Below are 14425 nucleotides of genomic sequence, written 5' to 3'. Positions count from 1 at the left end.
TGTCATGTTCCTCTCACCCATCACTGTAGCTGAAGCCCTGGAGAAGCCACTGATTACCCTCTAATCGTCCTAGGTGTTGGTTTCTCTGTTAACATAATGTCTATAATCGGAACTCTTAACCAGGAAAACTTCCCAAACAATATAAATTCAGTGAAAATATGTGCACTGCTCATACCTGGTTCCCCCGGTACTGTTGCTGCATAAGAAGTCACCCCTTAATTTAGTGGTTTAAAAAGATCATCTTATTTATGCTCTCAGAGTCTGTGGGTTTGGAATTTATTTTATTTTATTTAATTAATTAATTAATTAATTATTTAAGATGGAGTCTCACTCTGTCACCCAGGCTGGAGTGCAATGGCACGATCTCCGCTCACTGCAACCTCTGCCTCCTGGGTTCAAGCGATTTTCCTGCCTCAGCCTCTTGAGTAGCTGAGATTACAGGCAAGTGCCACCATGCCCGGCTAATTTTTTTCTATTTTTAGTAGAGACGGGGTTTCACCATATTGGTCAGGCTGGTCTTGCACTCTTGACCTCGTGATCCGCCTGCCTCAGCCTCCCAAAGTGCTGGGATTACAGGCATGAGCCACCACACCTGGCGGGTTTGGAATTTAGACAGCAGGAGTGGCTTGTCTCTGCTGCATGACAGCTGGGGCTGTGACCACTGTGGGTAACGCAGCAGCTGGGGTGTATTATGGTCTAACGGCTCCTTTCCTTATATGTCTAACCCTGGCCTGGAGCACTGGAGGATGAGGTCCGCTGACTGCAGCGTCCATCCTGGTCCTCCCCAGGCACTGTGGCCTCCCTCACAGCATGGCTGCCTTGGGTACTCGGACTTCACGTGGAAGGCCAGGGCTCCGAGAGCAAATGCCCCAGCAAGACAGAAGCTCAGCCGCCTTTGATGACCTAGAAGCTAGGCAGCATCCATTGTACTGCCTTCTATGGGTTGTGAGTGAGTCCCAAACCTGCCTTGACTCAAGGAAACGGAATTAGGCTCTACGTCTTGACTAGGTAGTGGCGAAGTTCTGGAAGCACATGAGTAGGAGATACTGTGACGGTTTCATCTTTGGAAAATACCATCTAGCACACCTGAATCTGCTTTCAGGGGGTGTAAGGGGATTTCCATGGCAAAATTTGAAGCCACATGTGGTCACTGCTTTGTACTGAGGAAACAAAGTGCTCTGGGCATCCAGAAAGGGGGTACGTTTTTTCTTACTGGGATAAATCTGGCTGCATTTTAGCTAATCCTGGAAAATTGATCGACAAAAGCAAAGGACCAAGAAAGCTGCTTATATCAGTGTCTCCTCCACCCTCAGCCTCCAGTAGCATCCCTACGTTTTACAATTTTATTTATGTCACTTTAAATAAGGTAAGCTCTCCTTTGCTGTTCTGGTGTATTTAGACATACACGTATTTTGCTGTCTTGGGTTCTCGTGATAATACTCTTACATCTTTGCACGCTTCATTTTGACCCCTTCCTACTACTTTGATTTTCCCATGACTTTATTCAAAATTTGGAGAGAATAACCCACTCGGCTCTCTTCTCCCTGGTTGCTTTCTCCACTCATTCTAGCTACCTCTGCTCCATAAAATTATGCTCAATCAAGTATCACATTATTTTTATCTTTAGTTGTATGTGTCGTTCCTGTGTCAAAGAGCTTACCCTGTGGGTGCTGTCCAGCCATCTTGAACATTTTGCAAGGCAAATTTATTTATTTATTTATTTATTTTGAGACATGGTCTCACTGTGTCACCCAGGCTGGAGTGCAGTGGTGTGATCATGGCTCACTGCAGCCTCTAACTTCTGGGCTCAAGCAATCCTCCCACCTTAGCCTCCCAAGTAGCCGGGACTTCAGGCAGGCACCGCCATGCCCAGCTAAGTTTTTAAATTTTTTTCTAGAGACGAGGTCTCACTATGCTGCCCAGGGTGGTCTTGGGCTTCTGGGCTCAAGTAATCCTCTTGCTCTGGCCTCTTAAAATGCTGGGATTACAGGCGAGGGCCACCGTGCCCGACCTGGCAAATTTATTGAAAATTGGGGCAATATTGAATCATCTTTGTATCCCACTGACTAGCAAGAAGGTAAGATACCATGGCTGGCTCAACACAGCTACTACCTAGAAATACACTTCTGTGTTATTCAAACCAGGAGTCAGGAAGGAAAACTAATTGAAAAATACCTTCTGAGTATCTGAATTGGGCAATTGCTATGGGGAACAGAATGACAAAGAAGCAGTACCCCACTCCCCAGAGGAGCTTCCCATCTGCTGGGGGTGCCAAAGCATGAACACATAGAAAGGTGAATAACCACAGCGTGGCAGGCAGGATAATGACACCCCTAAAATGTCCACATCCTGATCCCCGGACCTGTGAGCATTAGCTTACATGACAAAAGGGATTTCGCAGATGAGATTAAGTTAAAGATCTGAGATGGGAAGATGAGTCTAGACTATCCAGGTGGGCCCAGTGTAGTCACAGGGTCCTGATAAGTGGACAAAAGAGTCAAGATAGTTGGAGTTAATGCGAGTTAAGACCGGACATGGCTCTCTTTGGAAGACGAGAGGGGCCTTGAACCAAGGAGTGAGAGCATCTCTAGAAGCTGGCCAAGGCGGGAGGGAACACAGCCCTGTCTACACCCTGATTTTAGTCCAGTGAGACCTAACTTGGACTTCTGACCTTCAGACTGTAGGATAACACAGTTGGGTTGTTTTAAGCCACTAAGCTTGTGGAAATTTGCTATAGTAGCATTTGGAAACTAATACAAATAGCAAAGTTAAATGAGATAAGAATCCAGAAAAAAAGTGTCATAGGTCAATAAGCCAGAAATCGCCGCATACTGGAGCTTCTACTGCAATCTCATACGTTCATCCGCCTCATCGCCCATGAAAACTCTCGTTTCTGGAAAACGAAGGGTGAAAAATAATTAGCTCATGGGAAAAGTAGAGGTGGGCAGACCATTCAAAACTTAACGGAACTTATAACCAGAGCCTTGTTACTATTACCAAGAACAGTAACGATGCTAGTTGAAATATCAGTATAATCGATACAGTTAAATCTCCACTGGCGTCACATCTCCCTCCCACCGTACATCCTTTGCAGTTTTATACCCTGGGCTTCTGATTTCCTCCTTGCAAATGAAGTGTTCTTTTTTTTTTCAACTTTTATTTTAGAATTAGGGGGTACGTGGGCAAGTTTATTACAAAGCTGTAATTTCATGATGCTGAGGTTTGGAGCACACATGAATCTGTCACCCAGGTAGTGAGCATAGTACCCAATAGATAGTAGTTTTTAACCCTTAACCCCCTCTCCTTCTCCTGCTTTTTGTATTCCCCAGTATCTACTGTTCCCATTTTTTGACCATGTGTACCCAATGTTTAGCTCCCACTTACAAGTGAAAACATGCGATATTTGGTTTTCTGTTTCTGAGTTAATTAACTTAGAATAATGTCCTCCAGTGCATCCATGTTGCTGCAAAGGATGTGATCTCATTCTTTTTTATGGCTGCGTAGTATTCCACAGTGTATATGTGCCACATTTTCTTTATGACATTTCTTTCTGAGACCGACCTGCTTCATTAAAATAAAAAATACAACCTGAAGGTAGCCTGTTTGGCCAAGCATTTCTTTTTAAACACCGGGGGATACGTCTTTGCAGATTCTTCATCTTCATTTGCAACTTTCCCAGATTAAAAAAAAAAAGTCCAGTTTAAAAGTATAAAGCACTCATGGAAGACACTTCTGCTGGTAGTCCGATTTTTTTCTTAAAGTTTTCAAACAGTGCTAAAGTTTTCTATTTAATTCTGAAAACCCTACTGCTCATGGCCTCAAAATATTAATCTGCTTGGAAAAACTGATGAACAGCAAACTGTAATTGGTAGATGCCATGAGGGCTGTTGGTTTAAATGAGGGTGGGAGCAGGTTGGGGAGGCCTCTTGCTGGAGGTGGGCTCAAGCTGAGCCTGGAGAATGAGTCAGACGGGAGCTTACAGCATCACTTTCCAGGTGGAAGGAGGAAAATATGGTGCCCGATCCAACATGGGGTGTCCCTGGTGGGCTTTGTTTGGCTCAGACACCCCAGTTGGTGTAGTCCTATTGGCCAGAGCAGCCGCTCTCCCACACCCACAGCTGCTGTTGGTCCTGGGCTTGGGCCTGGAGAAGCCCCTCTTCAGGAGGCTGGGCCAGCCCTATTCTCACACCTAGAGATAGCGCAGCTCCCTCTCTTGGCGTTCAAGCCTCTTGGCCCCTAATTCCCCCTTCAAAGCAGCCTCCTGAGCTTTTGAGGGATTGTCACTCTTGGAGGAAATAAAAACGTAGAAAAATATAGCAGAGCACTCTAGGGAATATGTACTTTCTCAACTTTTCTAGCCACCATCCTTTAAGCAATTATAATGCTTCCGGCTATCACAGGACATTGAGAGGGAAAAGGCCTCATCGACATACCAACTACAGGCCAGGTGGACCTTCGGTGCACACACACCCCAGCGCCCACAGAGATCCAGGCCTCCTGTGTATGAATGTGTGCCATGAATTTAGACCTATTTCTCGCCTTCCGGGCTCTCTATTCCTCATCCTCCATCCAAGTGGCCATCTTGTGCAGGTAATTCTTTTCTCTCCCCTCACCCTTTCCCCCTGCTTCTCCCTACTCTCCCTCCCCCTGTTTCTCTCTGAGTCTCTTTCCCCCTTCTGCCTTCCAGTGCATCCTCTGCAATTTGAGGTGACCCTCTTCTCCAGCTGCTGCTGCAGAACCCCAAGTGTGGTCCCCACACCCCCTCACGGTACACTTCAGCAGGAAGGTGCTTCTGCGTCCCCCTGTCCTCATCCTCCACTGCAGCTGTCCTGCTTCATCTCTTCCTCCTGGACTCAGGTTGGCCTTGGGCCCTGCTCCAAAAGGAGCACATTCACCACAGCTTCAGACTTCCTCCTGCTGCCGCTGCTCCTCGGAAGCAAACCTGGTGACTGCTGATGTCCAGGCCTAGACCATGCCTGGCAGAGCAGCCATGGGGTGGAGAAACAAGTCCTCAAGAGGGCTGCGAGGAGAGGCACAGAGACGGTCAGGGAAACTGAGGTCACACAACTGGGAATAAGAAGGTGGGGTGCTGGGGGGCTTGTCAATGTGGTTCTTCCACAGAGGATGGAAAGCCCCTTCATTTCTGCCCAAGAAAGTATCTTCAGCATTCACCGAAATCTCCCCAAGAGGGAAGCGCCGCAGGAAGGGGAACTAGGAAGGAAATACAAGCTGGTGCTTACTCCATCCCCGTCACAAAGAGGCTCAGAGAGAGACTTGGGAACGATATGCATATGCAATTTTTTAAATCACTCATTCAAGAAATAATAATGAAAAATGAGTTATAGGCAATGGATTAGTAAGTGCTGATCAGATTGACTATGTAAGTGAATTACATTCAAATTACATGTGAAGGAGCTCTATCAAGGGCAATTATGGGTCCTTCGAGAGGCTTTAAAAAGAGGAGGGATGAAACTTGGTTAAAATGGGGGCTCGTTAAAGGCAAGAGGAGTACAGAATGGTTGAGGTAACTTTCTCTGTGCCCCACTGTCAGCCCTGCTCTGCCAAGCAGGCTTGCAGGTGGGGATATTTGCTTGCTCTGGGTTCAGCAAGTCCTTGTGCTGCCTTGCCTAACCTGCTTCCGAGGTATCGGGTTTTAAGCTGGTGTGGCAAGAATGATATTGGCCTTTGTGTTCTAAAGGAGTGGCATGAAGCACAGTGGACCTTGATCTTCAATTGACGCCACAGTCTCCCTAATCCACTGATCTCCAATCATCCCACTAGATTAGCCACCCTATCAGGCAGTATTTTTCCATGTCCCATGTGCTCAAGGACGAAGCTTTAAAAGCAAGCTTGGAAGCTTATGCGATGCAGTACAGTGTCGGGGGTTGGCAGGGGAGAGAAAAGCAAAGGACTTACATTTGTTTTAGAAATTGCTGCCAAAAGATAAGCTTGTCTGTGCAACTATATGACTTCTGACACTGAGGCAGGGAGGATTGTGAAACCAGGATAGACAGAATTTCAGCCAGCAAATAAGTACACGTTCACTTTAGCCAGGGGGTGGGGTGGGGAGGCGGCTGGGAAGGGACTGAGTTTATGAAGAGGCCTAGAGTAATAGTTTCTGAAGCATTACTTATCTAGTGCTAGGCGGCAGAGTTCATTTTGTTTGTATGCGGTGATTACTTGCAGTCTACATGCAGAAAACCAGTTTATCTAATGAAGCGCAGGACTACAAATAGAGGTTTCTTAATAGAACCAGGCGACTGCCATGGGCCTCACCCTGACCGCTGGGTCACAGAGCCTTACCATCGGGGACTAGGCTTTGGGAGGCACTGAGGCAAGTTGGAGAATTAGAAAAGGAGTCAGCCATGAGTTATGTCCTGGCTATTACCGAGAGATAATCTAAAAAATGAAAATAAAGCTGCATATCAGGAGTTGGAAGCAATGTTTTACTGAAGGGCAGTCCGGAGACATGCATTTTGTTTCCAGGTGTTCAAATGCACTTCCTCTTGCTGAGGGGGCCCGAAAGCCTCCCGCTGGCTGCTCTGGGTCCCAGGTGCGTCCAGACGTTGCCAGACACACCTCTGTCAGGTGAGGCAGGCTCCAAGGGAGGAGGCCTTGGCTTTGTTAATTTTGCAGAAGAGCAGGGACTTTCATGACAATTTTTTTGATCTAATGACAAGCTATTTCCTCTACCATTAGTGTCCCGAAGGGCAAATTCTAAAGCCAAGGCCATTTGATAAAGCCTGGGGAATTTATTGCAAGGCAGATGGACACAGCAGCAGCACATAAGAGCACACGCGTGGGGCTCCAGCCCGGCCACGGGGAGACCTTTTCTCAGCAAAGGGCAGCACTGCTCGCTTTGCTGGGGCAGCCCTCCCAGGAAGATCCCAGAAGAGATGGTCTGAGGTGTGTGAACACTGTGAATGTCATGGACAAAGCTCAGCGTGGGACCCCATGGGACTTCAGGTTATTAAGATGTAAATGTTGGCCAAAAGCTTATGTGTGAATTTTATTTTTAAGTTGTGACTTCCTTCCTCTCTGCCTGGGCCAGTGCACAAGCAGGAGGAGGGAGAGTCGGTATTACTCTGCAAGAGCTGTTTCTCCAGGTTTCTGGGTGTGTTCTTGAGTGAATAGAAATCTGACACCACTGAGAATTCACTGACAAAGGCTTTCCGTCTGCAAGGCAGTGTGTCACGCACTGGCCCTGACCAATCCCATTTGGAGCTGAAGACTCCAGAACATGGCGGAAGGTCATTTCTGCAGCAGTGTTAGCTGTTCCACAGCTCAAAGAGGAACTAAAATTAAAGACAGGAAAGCAACATTGTGAAAATGCCTATGGCAGCCACTGAGAGTTACAAAACAGCCTCAACTATCTCCTAAGAAATGATCACTGGGGATGCATGTTTTCAAACTCTCATTGGATGCCCTGTATGCACCTGTTGTAAAGTCGAGAAATCACACCAGCACCAGCACTGCTTTCCTGATCACCTGTTGAAAATGTAATGGACACGAAATACCAAAAACGGGATTAAATTCCCCACCAAGAGGACATCCTTTTCGTGTCAGCGGCTTCCCAGTAGCAGTTTTTCACAAAATCGTGTTTAAAAACATTTTTCTATAGGCAATATTCACCTAGAATGGAAAACGTGGCTAGAATAGCTTATTTTATGATCTTAGATTTTCTCTGTGTTGGTGTGTCTCTCCTCCCATTTCTGAGTTCTGTTTGGCTTAAATGTGTAATGATCTGACCACTGAGCTTTGTCACAGAACTAGGGTAGGAGGACAAAATATTGAGTTAGGAGAAGTTTTCAACCAGCAATTTCCCAATAGTACATGATTTCCTTTTTTGTCTTCTTTTTCTTCTTCAGAGGAGAGCAGGGTACATTCTGGAGTGAGGACATGACTACAAGTTGTAGGCAGGAAATACTGTTTCATGACACCAAATTTTAAAAGAAAGAGACTTTAGAAAATGGTCATATTTTGGCCGGGCACAGTGGCTCATGCCTGTGATCCCAGCACTTTGGGAGGCCGAGGTGGGAGGATCACTTGAGGTCAGGAGTTTGAGACCAGAGACATGGTGAAACCTCGTCTCTATTAAAAATACAAAAAATTAGCCAGGCATGGTGGTGCACACCTGTAATCCCAGCTACTTGGAAGGCTGAGGCAGGAGAATCGTTTGAACCCGGGAGGCGGAGGTTGCAGTGAGTTGAGGTTGCAGTGAATTGAGATTGCGCCACTGCACTCCAGCCTGGGTGACACAGCAAGACTATGTCTCAAATAATAATAATAATAATAAAATAAAAAAGAAAATGGTCATATATTTATAGTCTACTTTTTATATTTTGTTAGATGTCACTAACTACTTAATGCTTTTTAGTTATTTAAAATGTTGCTCACAAATCCCAGTGTAAGCCCACGAAGTTGACCTCAGTGATTACACTTTTCCTAAAACCCTGGGGATTTTGTTTTAAAAGGTTAATGTGTTTTTTCAGTTAGTGGGAAGATAATTATGGACCCTCTCCTGGGTGTAAGTGATGTAAAGGGTCTTCGGGGATATGAATTAAAGAGTAGGCTCTGGCCCTGACCTCTGTATTGAGGAGGGAGGCCTCCTGAGAAGGGAGTCCTTGCTTGTGCTGAAAGGAGCTTTTGCTACATGGGGTCCCACAGGTTTAGGTGCAGGCAGGAGGAGCGGCAGCAAGAGGGCCCACTGTGGGCCCAGAAACATTTGGCTGGGACCTCAGCCTTGTTGTACCTTGTTCTAGGGGAAAAATAAAAGCGGCTCAAGCCTTTCTTAACCCCTGGGAGACACTGGCAGGGAAGAGGCCACAAAGAGCAAGACAGCTGTGACAAGTGCACAGTCACCCCAGGCCCCAAGGCTCTCCTGTTTCCACACACTGTGTCCAAACCAATCATCCAGCTCTTGGCCTGCTCTGCCCAGCCCTCTTCCTGACCTTCAATGCTTACATCTCCACTCCCAAAATAGATCAGGAAGCTGCTGATGCCACAGAAAGATCTGGCTTTGGAATAAGTAAGCCCGGGTTCAAATCCCCTGCCTGTACACATTTATAACATTCGACTTTATGTTCCTACCCTGTAAAATGGGAACACCAGGACCTATGATTCAGGGTGCTGGGGAGGTCTAAAGTAGGTAACATATGTCAGACACATAGCACAATGCCTGGCGCATGACAGCTGATCAGTGAAGGTTATTTGTCCCTCCTGCTTGTCCTAGGAGGAGCTAGTGCCGGGATTCGCCTCAGGGGCATGTGGGTGTCAGAGACAGGGCATTGCGTCCTGGCTAGGTGGCTTGCCAGATGCAAGATCATCTGTTTTCCTGTTTCTAAAAAGGAGATAATGTCATAAGGTTACTGTCAGGATTAAAATGAAAAGTGATAGAGCATGCCTGTCCCATCATAGGAACTTGATACCTGTTGGTTTCTGTCTTTAAACTTCTTTGAAATATGCCATCCCTCATCCCTGTGATGGCCTCACAGGCAGCTGCATCCCTTGAACCCTGTACTGGACCACTGGCCACCCCTGCATCTGCCCCTACCTCTGCCTCATGCAACTGTCACTGCCATAGGAGGGGCCTACCAGGCACTGGGCGACTCAGCCAGGTGCGGAGGCAGACACGAGGCTCCATGGCAAGGCTGTGGGACTGTCCCTGGCAAAACAAGCCTCCCTTCACTTTCTGTCTTTATGACTACCCTCGCTGTTCTGTCACTTGATTTTACCTGAGGATCCAATTCTGGGGTAGGAACAAAGTTTCCTCCTGAGCTCTGACCATGCTCTGAGTTGGAAATCCGAAATACTGAAGGATTTCCAATTCACAGCAGCTCTATTTTGGATTTTGATTTATTTGTTGGAGTGGTTCTGAGCTATCACAGCCTCCCACTCGCCCCCTCCTCAGGGCTGTTCTTGGAGAGAGCAGCATGATTTCAGCCCATGAAGGAACAATCAGGCTCAATAAACCTAAGAGAAAATCGAAGAATAATCTAATGTTCTCAGTGCTCAGGTCTAAAGAGGAAGTGACCTCATTTCATAAGGGACAGCCATTGCTAGTTTAATAGAATAGCCTTTTGCATTATCACAGATGTAGCAGACTAGGTGTGTAATCATAGATAAAATAAAAAATCGTAGACAATTTTGAAGAAAAACCAGGAGCATCTTTTGAGATTACTTAAGGGAATACAAGGAATCTATGTATCCCTTTGCGTAAGATGTCCCATGCAATATATCCAGCCCCTTGGGTATTTAATGAAGCACTTTCAAGAGGATAAGAGGCAGGAGACCGGAAAGACTCCACTGGTGTTCTGCAAAGTGGAGTGTGAAACGCAAAGGTTTTTTTTTTTTTTTCCAGAATTTACACATCCAATGCCAAACCTAAGGAGGAAAGGAGTAAATGGCCAGAAGGAATAGGGATTTGATTGCCAGATGGTTAAATGTGGTGTGACAGTATTCCATTAAGAATTTTGAAACATTCAACATACATTCACTTTGCTTCAACGAGACCCAAACGGAAAGCATCTAGAGAGGCACACACGCAGCGGCGCTCTGCGAAACGTCTGTGTTTCACATGGTACTGCCTGTTTGCCTGTCGGCTCTCAATGCCACCCCACTCTCCCTGCCCTTCTCTGTAGGAGCTGGAAGCCTGCAAACTACATTTCCCAGAATCCCCAGCCAGCTTGCTTCCCAGTAGCCTCTGCCAATGGGAGACACTGGTGGGAGCTTGGAAGGAGGGTAGAAGGGAGAAAGAAGCTGATTTTATTTCTCCTTCTGTTGAAGTCTCTGGCAGTGGCAGCAGTAGCAGCAGTGGCAGCAGCTGCGGCAATAGCAGTAGCAGCGGCAGTAGGTGACTGAGTTTCTGCTCAGGTGGAGTTTCAACAGCAGTGGGGGCAGGGAGTGCTCTCGCAGCCTCTGCAGCAGGGCGTTCCTGGGCTCTGGATCTGGCAGCATCAGTGTCCGTGACAGGCAGCCCTTGGTGGGAGTTTAATTTCTCGGCTTCCTGAAAGATTTCCAATAACGGCCGTGGAGCAGCAAGTATCACAGCAGCTTCAGCCACCGAGCAATCACCGACTCTTTGTGGATCACACCATATTTCCTTTTGTTCAGCCAGCCTTAGGACGGTAGTAGTAGCTTCCTGCAGTTACTGGTCTCTGAATGATCTCAGCTCTCCCCTTTTATTCTCCTCCAGCTCTTCAACACATTTGCAGCCCATTTCCTAGGTTAACTTTCTTCTACTTGAAATTCCTAGGGTAGTTTCCGTTCTGCTGACTGGACACTGTCCAGTATACACGTTTATAAGGTAAACGCGAATTTTAAGGCAAATCAAATACAATCTCATTTTAATTCCTTACCCCAGCTGCATTTGTGGGCTTACAAAAGGAAAGAGTAAGCGAGTCTTTCTCCCAAAAGTTTGACAACAAAACTCAGTTCCTTGTCACATACCCTGCAGCCTCCACCAAAGAGGTCACCATGACAAGTATTCTTGAGCAAGAGACTTTCTTTTGAGAGATCTCTGTTCATAACCATAATGACATTAATAGTAGGTACCCGTTCAATAAGTGTCTTTTATATATTGGGCATTTCAAATACATTATTTCATTTAATTATCAGTTATAATAATTATCTATCTATCTATCTATCTATCTATCTATCTATCTATCTATCTATAGACAGGGTCTTGCTGTGTCACCCAGGCTGGAGTGCAGTGGCAAGATCTCAGCTCACTGCAGCCTTGACTCCCCAGGCCCAAGTGATCCTCCTACCTCAGCCTCCTGAGTAGCTGGGACTACAGGCATGTGCCACCACCATGCCCAGCTAATTTTTGTATTTTTTTGTAGAGATGGGGTTTCGCCATATTGCCCAGGCTGGTCTTGAACTCCTAGGCAGAATCGATCCACCTGTCTCAGCCTCCCAAAGTGTTGGGATTTCAGGCATGAGTCACTGCACCCAGCTTACTTGGCTTTTATTAGCAATTCATAAACTGGGCAGCACCTAGTTGATAAAATAGACAAGAGCTCCACTGGGAATGGCAGAACAGTAAGATTCTGTAAGGTAGTTTGAGCAGGAACAAGGAAACAGCATAGTACAAAAAGCATATTGGTTAATATCCGCTTACTTGGTTACTTCTGGTTATCTTGGTTACTTCAGGTTGCTTTCATTGTGTGGATTAAAACAGAGGGAACTTGCTTTATCATGCCACTCAGGTTGACTGGACTCCTTTTTTTTTTTTTCTTTTTGGCAACCTGGCCTGTTTTGGGATTTTACTGCTTTTTAAAGTTTTAGTTTGATTACGTGGCACTTAACATGAGTGACTCCATTTGGGTTGGCCTGTTGGGGCCCAGTGCAGGAATTCAGTCCAAAACAATGGTCTCTCCCAAGTTTTATTTAACAGTGGCTACGCACCCCTCTCTTTTTAGCATGCATACCTTTTGCCATGTGACTAAGCCATCCTTCCTACCCGGTGTCACAGTCTATTTCTTCACTCCCCAGAATTTAAGATGGTCTTGTGAATTACTCTGGCTTACAAAATGAGCCAGAAGAGGTATGTGAGTTCCAGAGGCCAGACTCAAGGGGTCTGGCAAATTCTGCCTTCACCCACTTGGAACATTGTCCTTTAAAGGCCCTGAAAGCAGCAGATCTCACCTGCATTGGAGGATGAGACGCCACATGAAGAAGAAAGAAGACGCCACAGACAGCAGCGCAGTACCACCTTCCAGAGATGTGAGTGTGACCGTCTTTGACCTTCTAGCCCAGCTGCTTTCCCTGAATGCAATGCATGAGCAGGCCAGGCAAAACTAGAGAGGGAAGCTGCCCAGCTAACCCACAGAATTATGAGAGATAAAAAATCATTGTCTTAAGCCACTAAGTCTGTTATGCAGCAATATATAGCATTCATTCAACTTTTGTCTCATGAATACTCTCATTTCTTTTATAAGTTCTTTTGTGGTTCAAATTAGCTCAAATCAGTTTCTGATGCTTATGACCAAATGCCCCTATGTGATAGATTTTGAGGGGTTAAGAAGCTTGCTCGGATCACACAGCGGTAAGTAGCAGCACTTCATCTTTAACCCACCTCTGGCCCACTCCCTTTCCATAGGTCCTTGTTGCCTCCCTCCCTAATCCCTTCCAGTCTAGTTTCCTCACTCATTTTAGCATCTTGAAGATGCCTGACCTTTTGTAACAGGCACTTAGAAGAGGCAATAATCAAGCTGTGAGCTGGAATACTGGGTTTCTCATCCAATAACCAGGTTGGCAGGTTGGTAACCATACAAGGGACTTTTCAAACTGGAGAATTAGTGTGCTGAGCACAAAGTGGTGAGTATTTTGAGAGTTACTGAAATATAATTGACATAACAATAAAAATACAATATTTAAGTGCATGTATTTCAAGTGTACGATTTGACAAGTTTGGTTATATTATATACACCTACGAAACCATCACCACAATTAAGAAAATGAGCATAGCTATCACACACAAAAGTTTCCTTGTGCCCCTTGGTAATTCCTCCCTCTCTCCTGCCCACATCTCTCCTTTTCCCAGGCAATCCCTGATCTGATTTCTGCCGCTATCAATTCGTTTGCATTTCCTAGAATTTTAAATAACTGAAAACATACATTAAGAACTCTTTTTCTCTGGCCGAGTATGGTGGCTCACGCCTGTAATCCCAGCACTTTGGGTGGCCAAGGCGGGCAGATCACCTGAGGTCAGGAGTTCGAGACCACCCTGGCCAACGTGGTGAAACCCTGTCTCTACTAAACATACAAAAATTAGCCAGGCATGGTAATGGGCATCTGTAATCCCAGCTACTCGCGAGGCTGAGGCAGGAGAATTGCTTGAACCTGGGAGACAGAGGTTGCAGTGGGCTGAGATCACGCCACTGCACTCCAGCATGGACAACAGAGCGAGACTCCGTCCCCAAAAAAGAAAAAAAAAAAGAACTTTTTTTTCTCCAGCTTCTCCCACTTAGCATAATTATGTTGAGATTCAGCCATGTTTTCCTGTGGATCAATAATTTATTTCTTTATATTGCCAAGTGGTATTCCATCGTATGTATATACCATAGTTTGTTTATCCATTCAACCACTGAAAGACATTAGGGTTGTTTTCTGTTTTGGGTTAATAAAACAAAGCTTCTGTGAACATTTATCTACAAGTCTTTGTGTGGATATAAGTTTCCATTTCTCTTAGGTAAATATCTAGGGTCATAAAATAAGTATATACCTAAATTTTGAAGAAACTACCAAACTATTTTACAAAATGGTTGTATTATTTTACCTTTTTGCCAGCCATATATGAGAGTGTCAATTCCTTCACATTCTTGTCAAAACTTGATGTGTTCAGTCTTTTTAATTTTGACCATTCTAAAAGCATGTAATGGGGCCGGGCACAGTGGCTCACACCTGTAATCCCAGCACTTTG

At 45.7% G+C, this 14425-nt stretch overlaps 1 long non-coding RNA gene across 1 annotated transcript, besides 6 other annotated features; it reads left to right on the top strand.

Moving 5' to 3' along the window:
• Positions 632–701: an enhancer, noted in NCBI's record as "active region_22213". NCBI's record gives its function as "activates an Ori minimal core promoter by ATAC-STARR-seq in GM12878 lymphoblastoid cells {active_cell/tissue: GM12878}" and the evidence as "EXISTENCE:reporter gene assay evidence [ECO:0000049][PMID:35858748]".
• On the top strand, positions 702–13648 carry LINC02363 (long intergenic non-protein coding RNA 2363). Its single transcript, NR_040108.1, has 3 exons — positions 702–1366; positions 4401–4590; positions 12626–13648. It is a non-coding gene; the product is annotated as a long intergenic non-protein coding RNA 2363 (long non-coding RNA).
• Positions 6782–7131: an enhancer, noted in NCBI's record as "active region_22212". NCBI's record gives its function as "activates an Ori minimal core promoter by ATAC-STARR-seq in GM12878 lymphoblastoid cells {active_cell/tissue: GM12878}" and the evidence as "EXISTENCE:reporter gene assay evidence [ECO:0000049][PMID:35858748]".
• Positions 6782–7303: a biological region, named in NCBI's record as "Sharpr-MPRA regulatory region 724".
• Positions 7009–7303: an enhancer, noted in NCBI's record as "tiled region #724; HepG2 Activating non-DNase unmatched - State 2:TssF, and K562 Activating DNase unmatched - State 5:Enh". NCBI's record gives its function as "activates a minimal TATA promoter and a strong SV40 promoter by Sharpr-MPRA in HepG2 and K562 cells {active_cell/tissue: HepG2 | K562}" and the evidence as "EXISTENCE:reporter gene assay evidence [ECO:0000049][PMID:27701403]".
• Positions 7212–7261: an enhancer, noted in NCBI's record as "active region_22211". NCBI's record gives its function as "activates an Ori minimal core promoter by ATAC-STARR-seq in GM12878 lymphoblastoid cells {active_cell/tissue: GM12878}" and the evidence as "EXISTENCE:reporter gene assay evidence [ECO:0000049][PMID:35858748]".
• Positions 9361–9430: a silencer, noted in NCBI's record as "silent region_15835". NCBI's record gives its function as "represses an Ori minimal core promoter by ATAC-STARR-seq in GM12878 lymphoblastoid cells {active_cell/tissue: GM12878}" and the evidence as "EXISTENCE:reporter gene assay evidence [ECO:0000049][PMID:35858748]".
• Positions 13649–14425: the final 777 nt, after the last annotated feature.

Source organism: Homo sapiens, chromosome 4 (genome assembly GCF_000001405.40).
Source record: "Homo sapiens chromosome 4, GRCh38.p14 Primary Assembly".
Lineage (NCBI taxonomy): Eukaryota > Metazoa > Chordata > Mammalia > Primates > Hominidae > Homo > Homo sapiens.
Note: the sequence above shows the minus strand (reverse complement) of the source record. Positions and strands in the feature narration are given on the sequence as shown.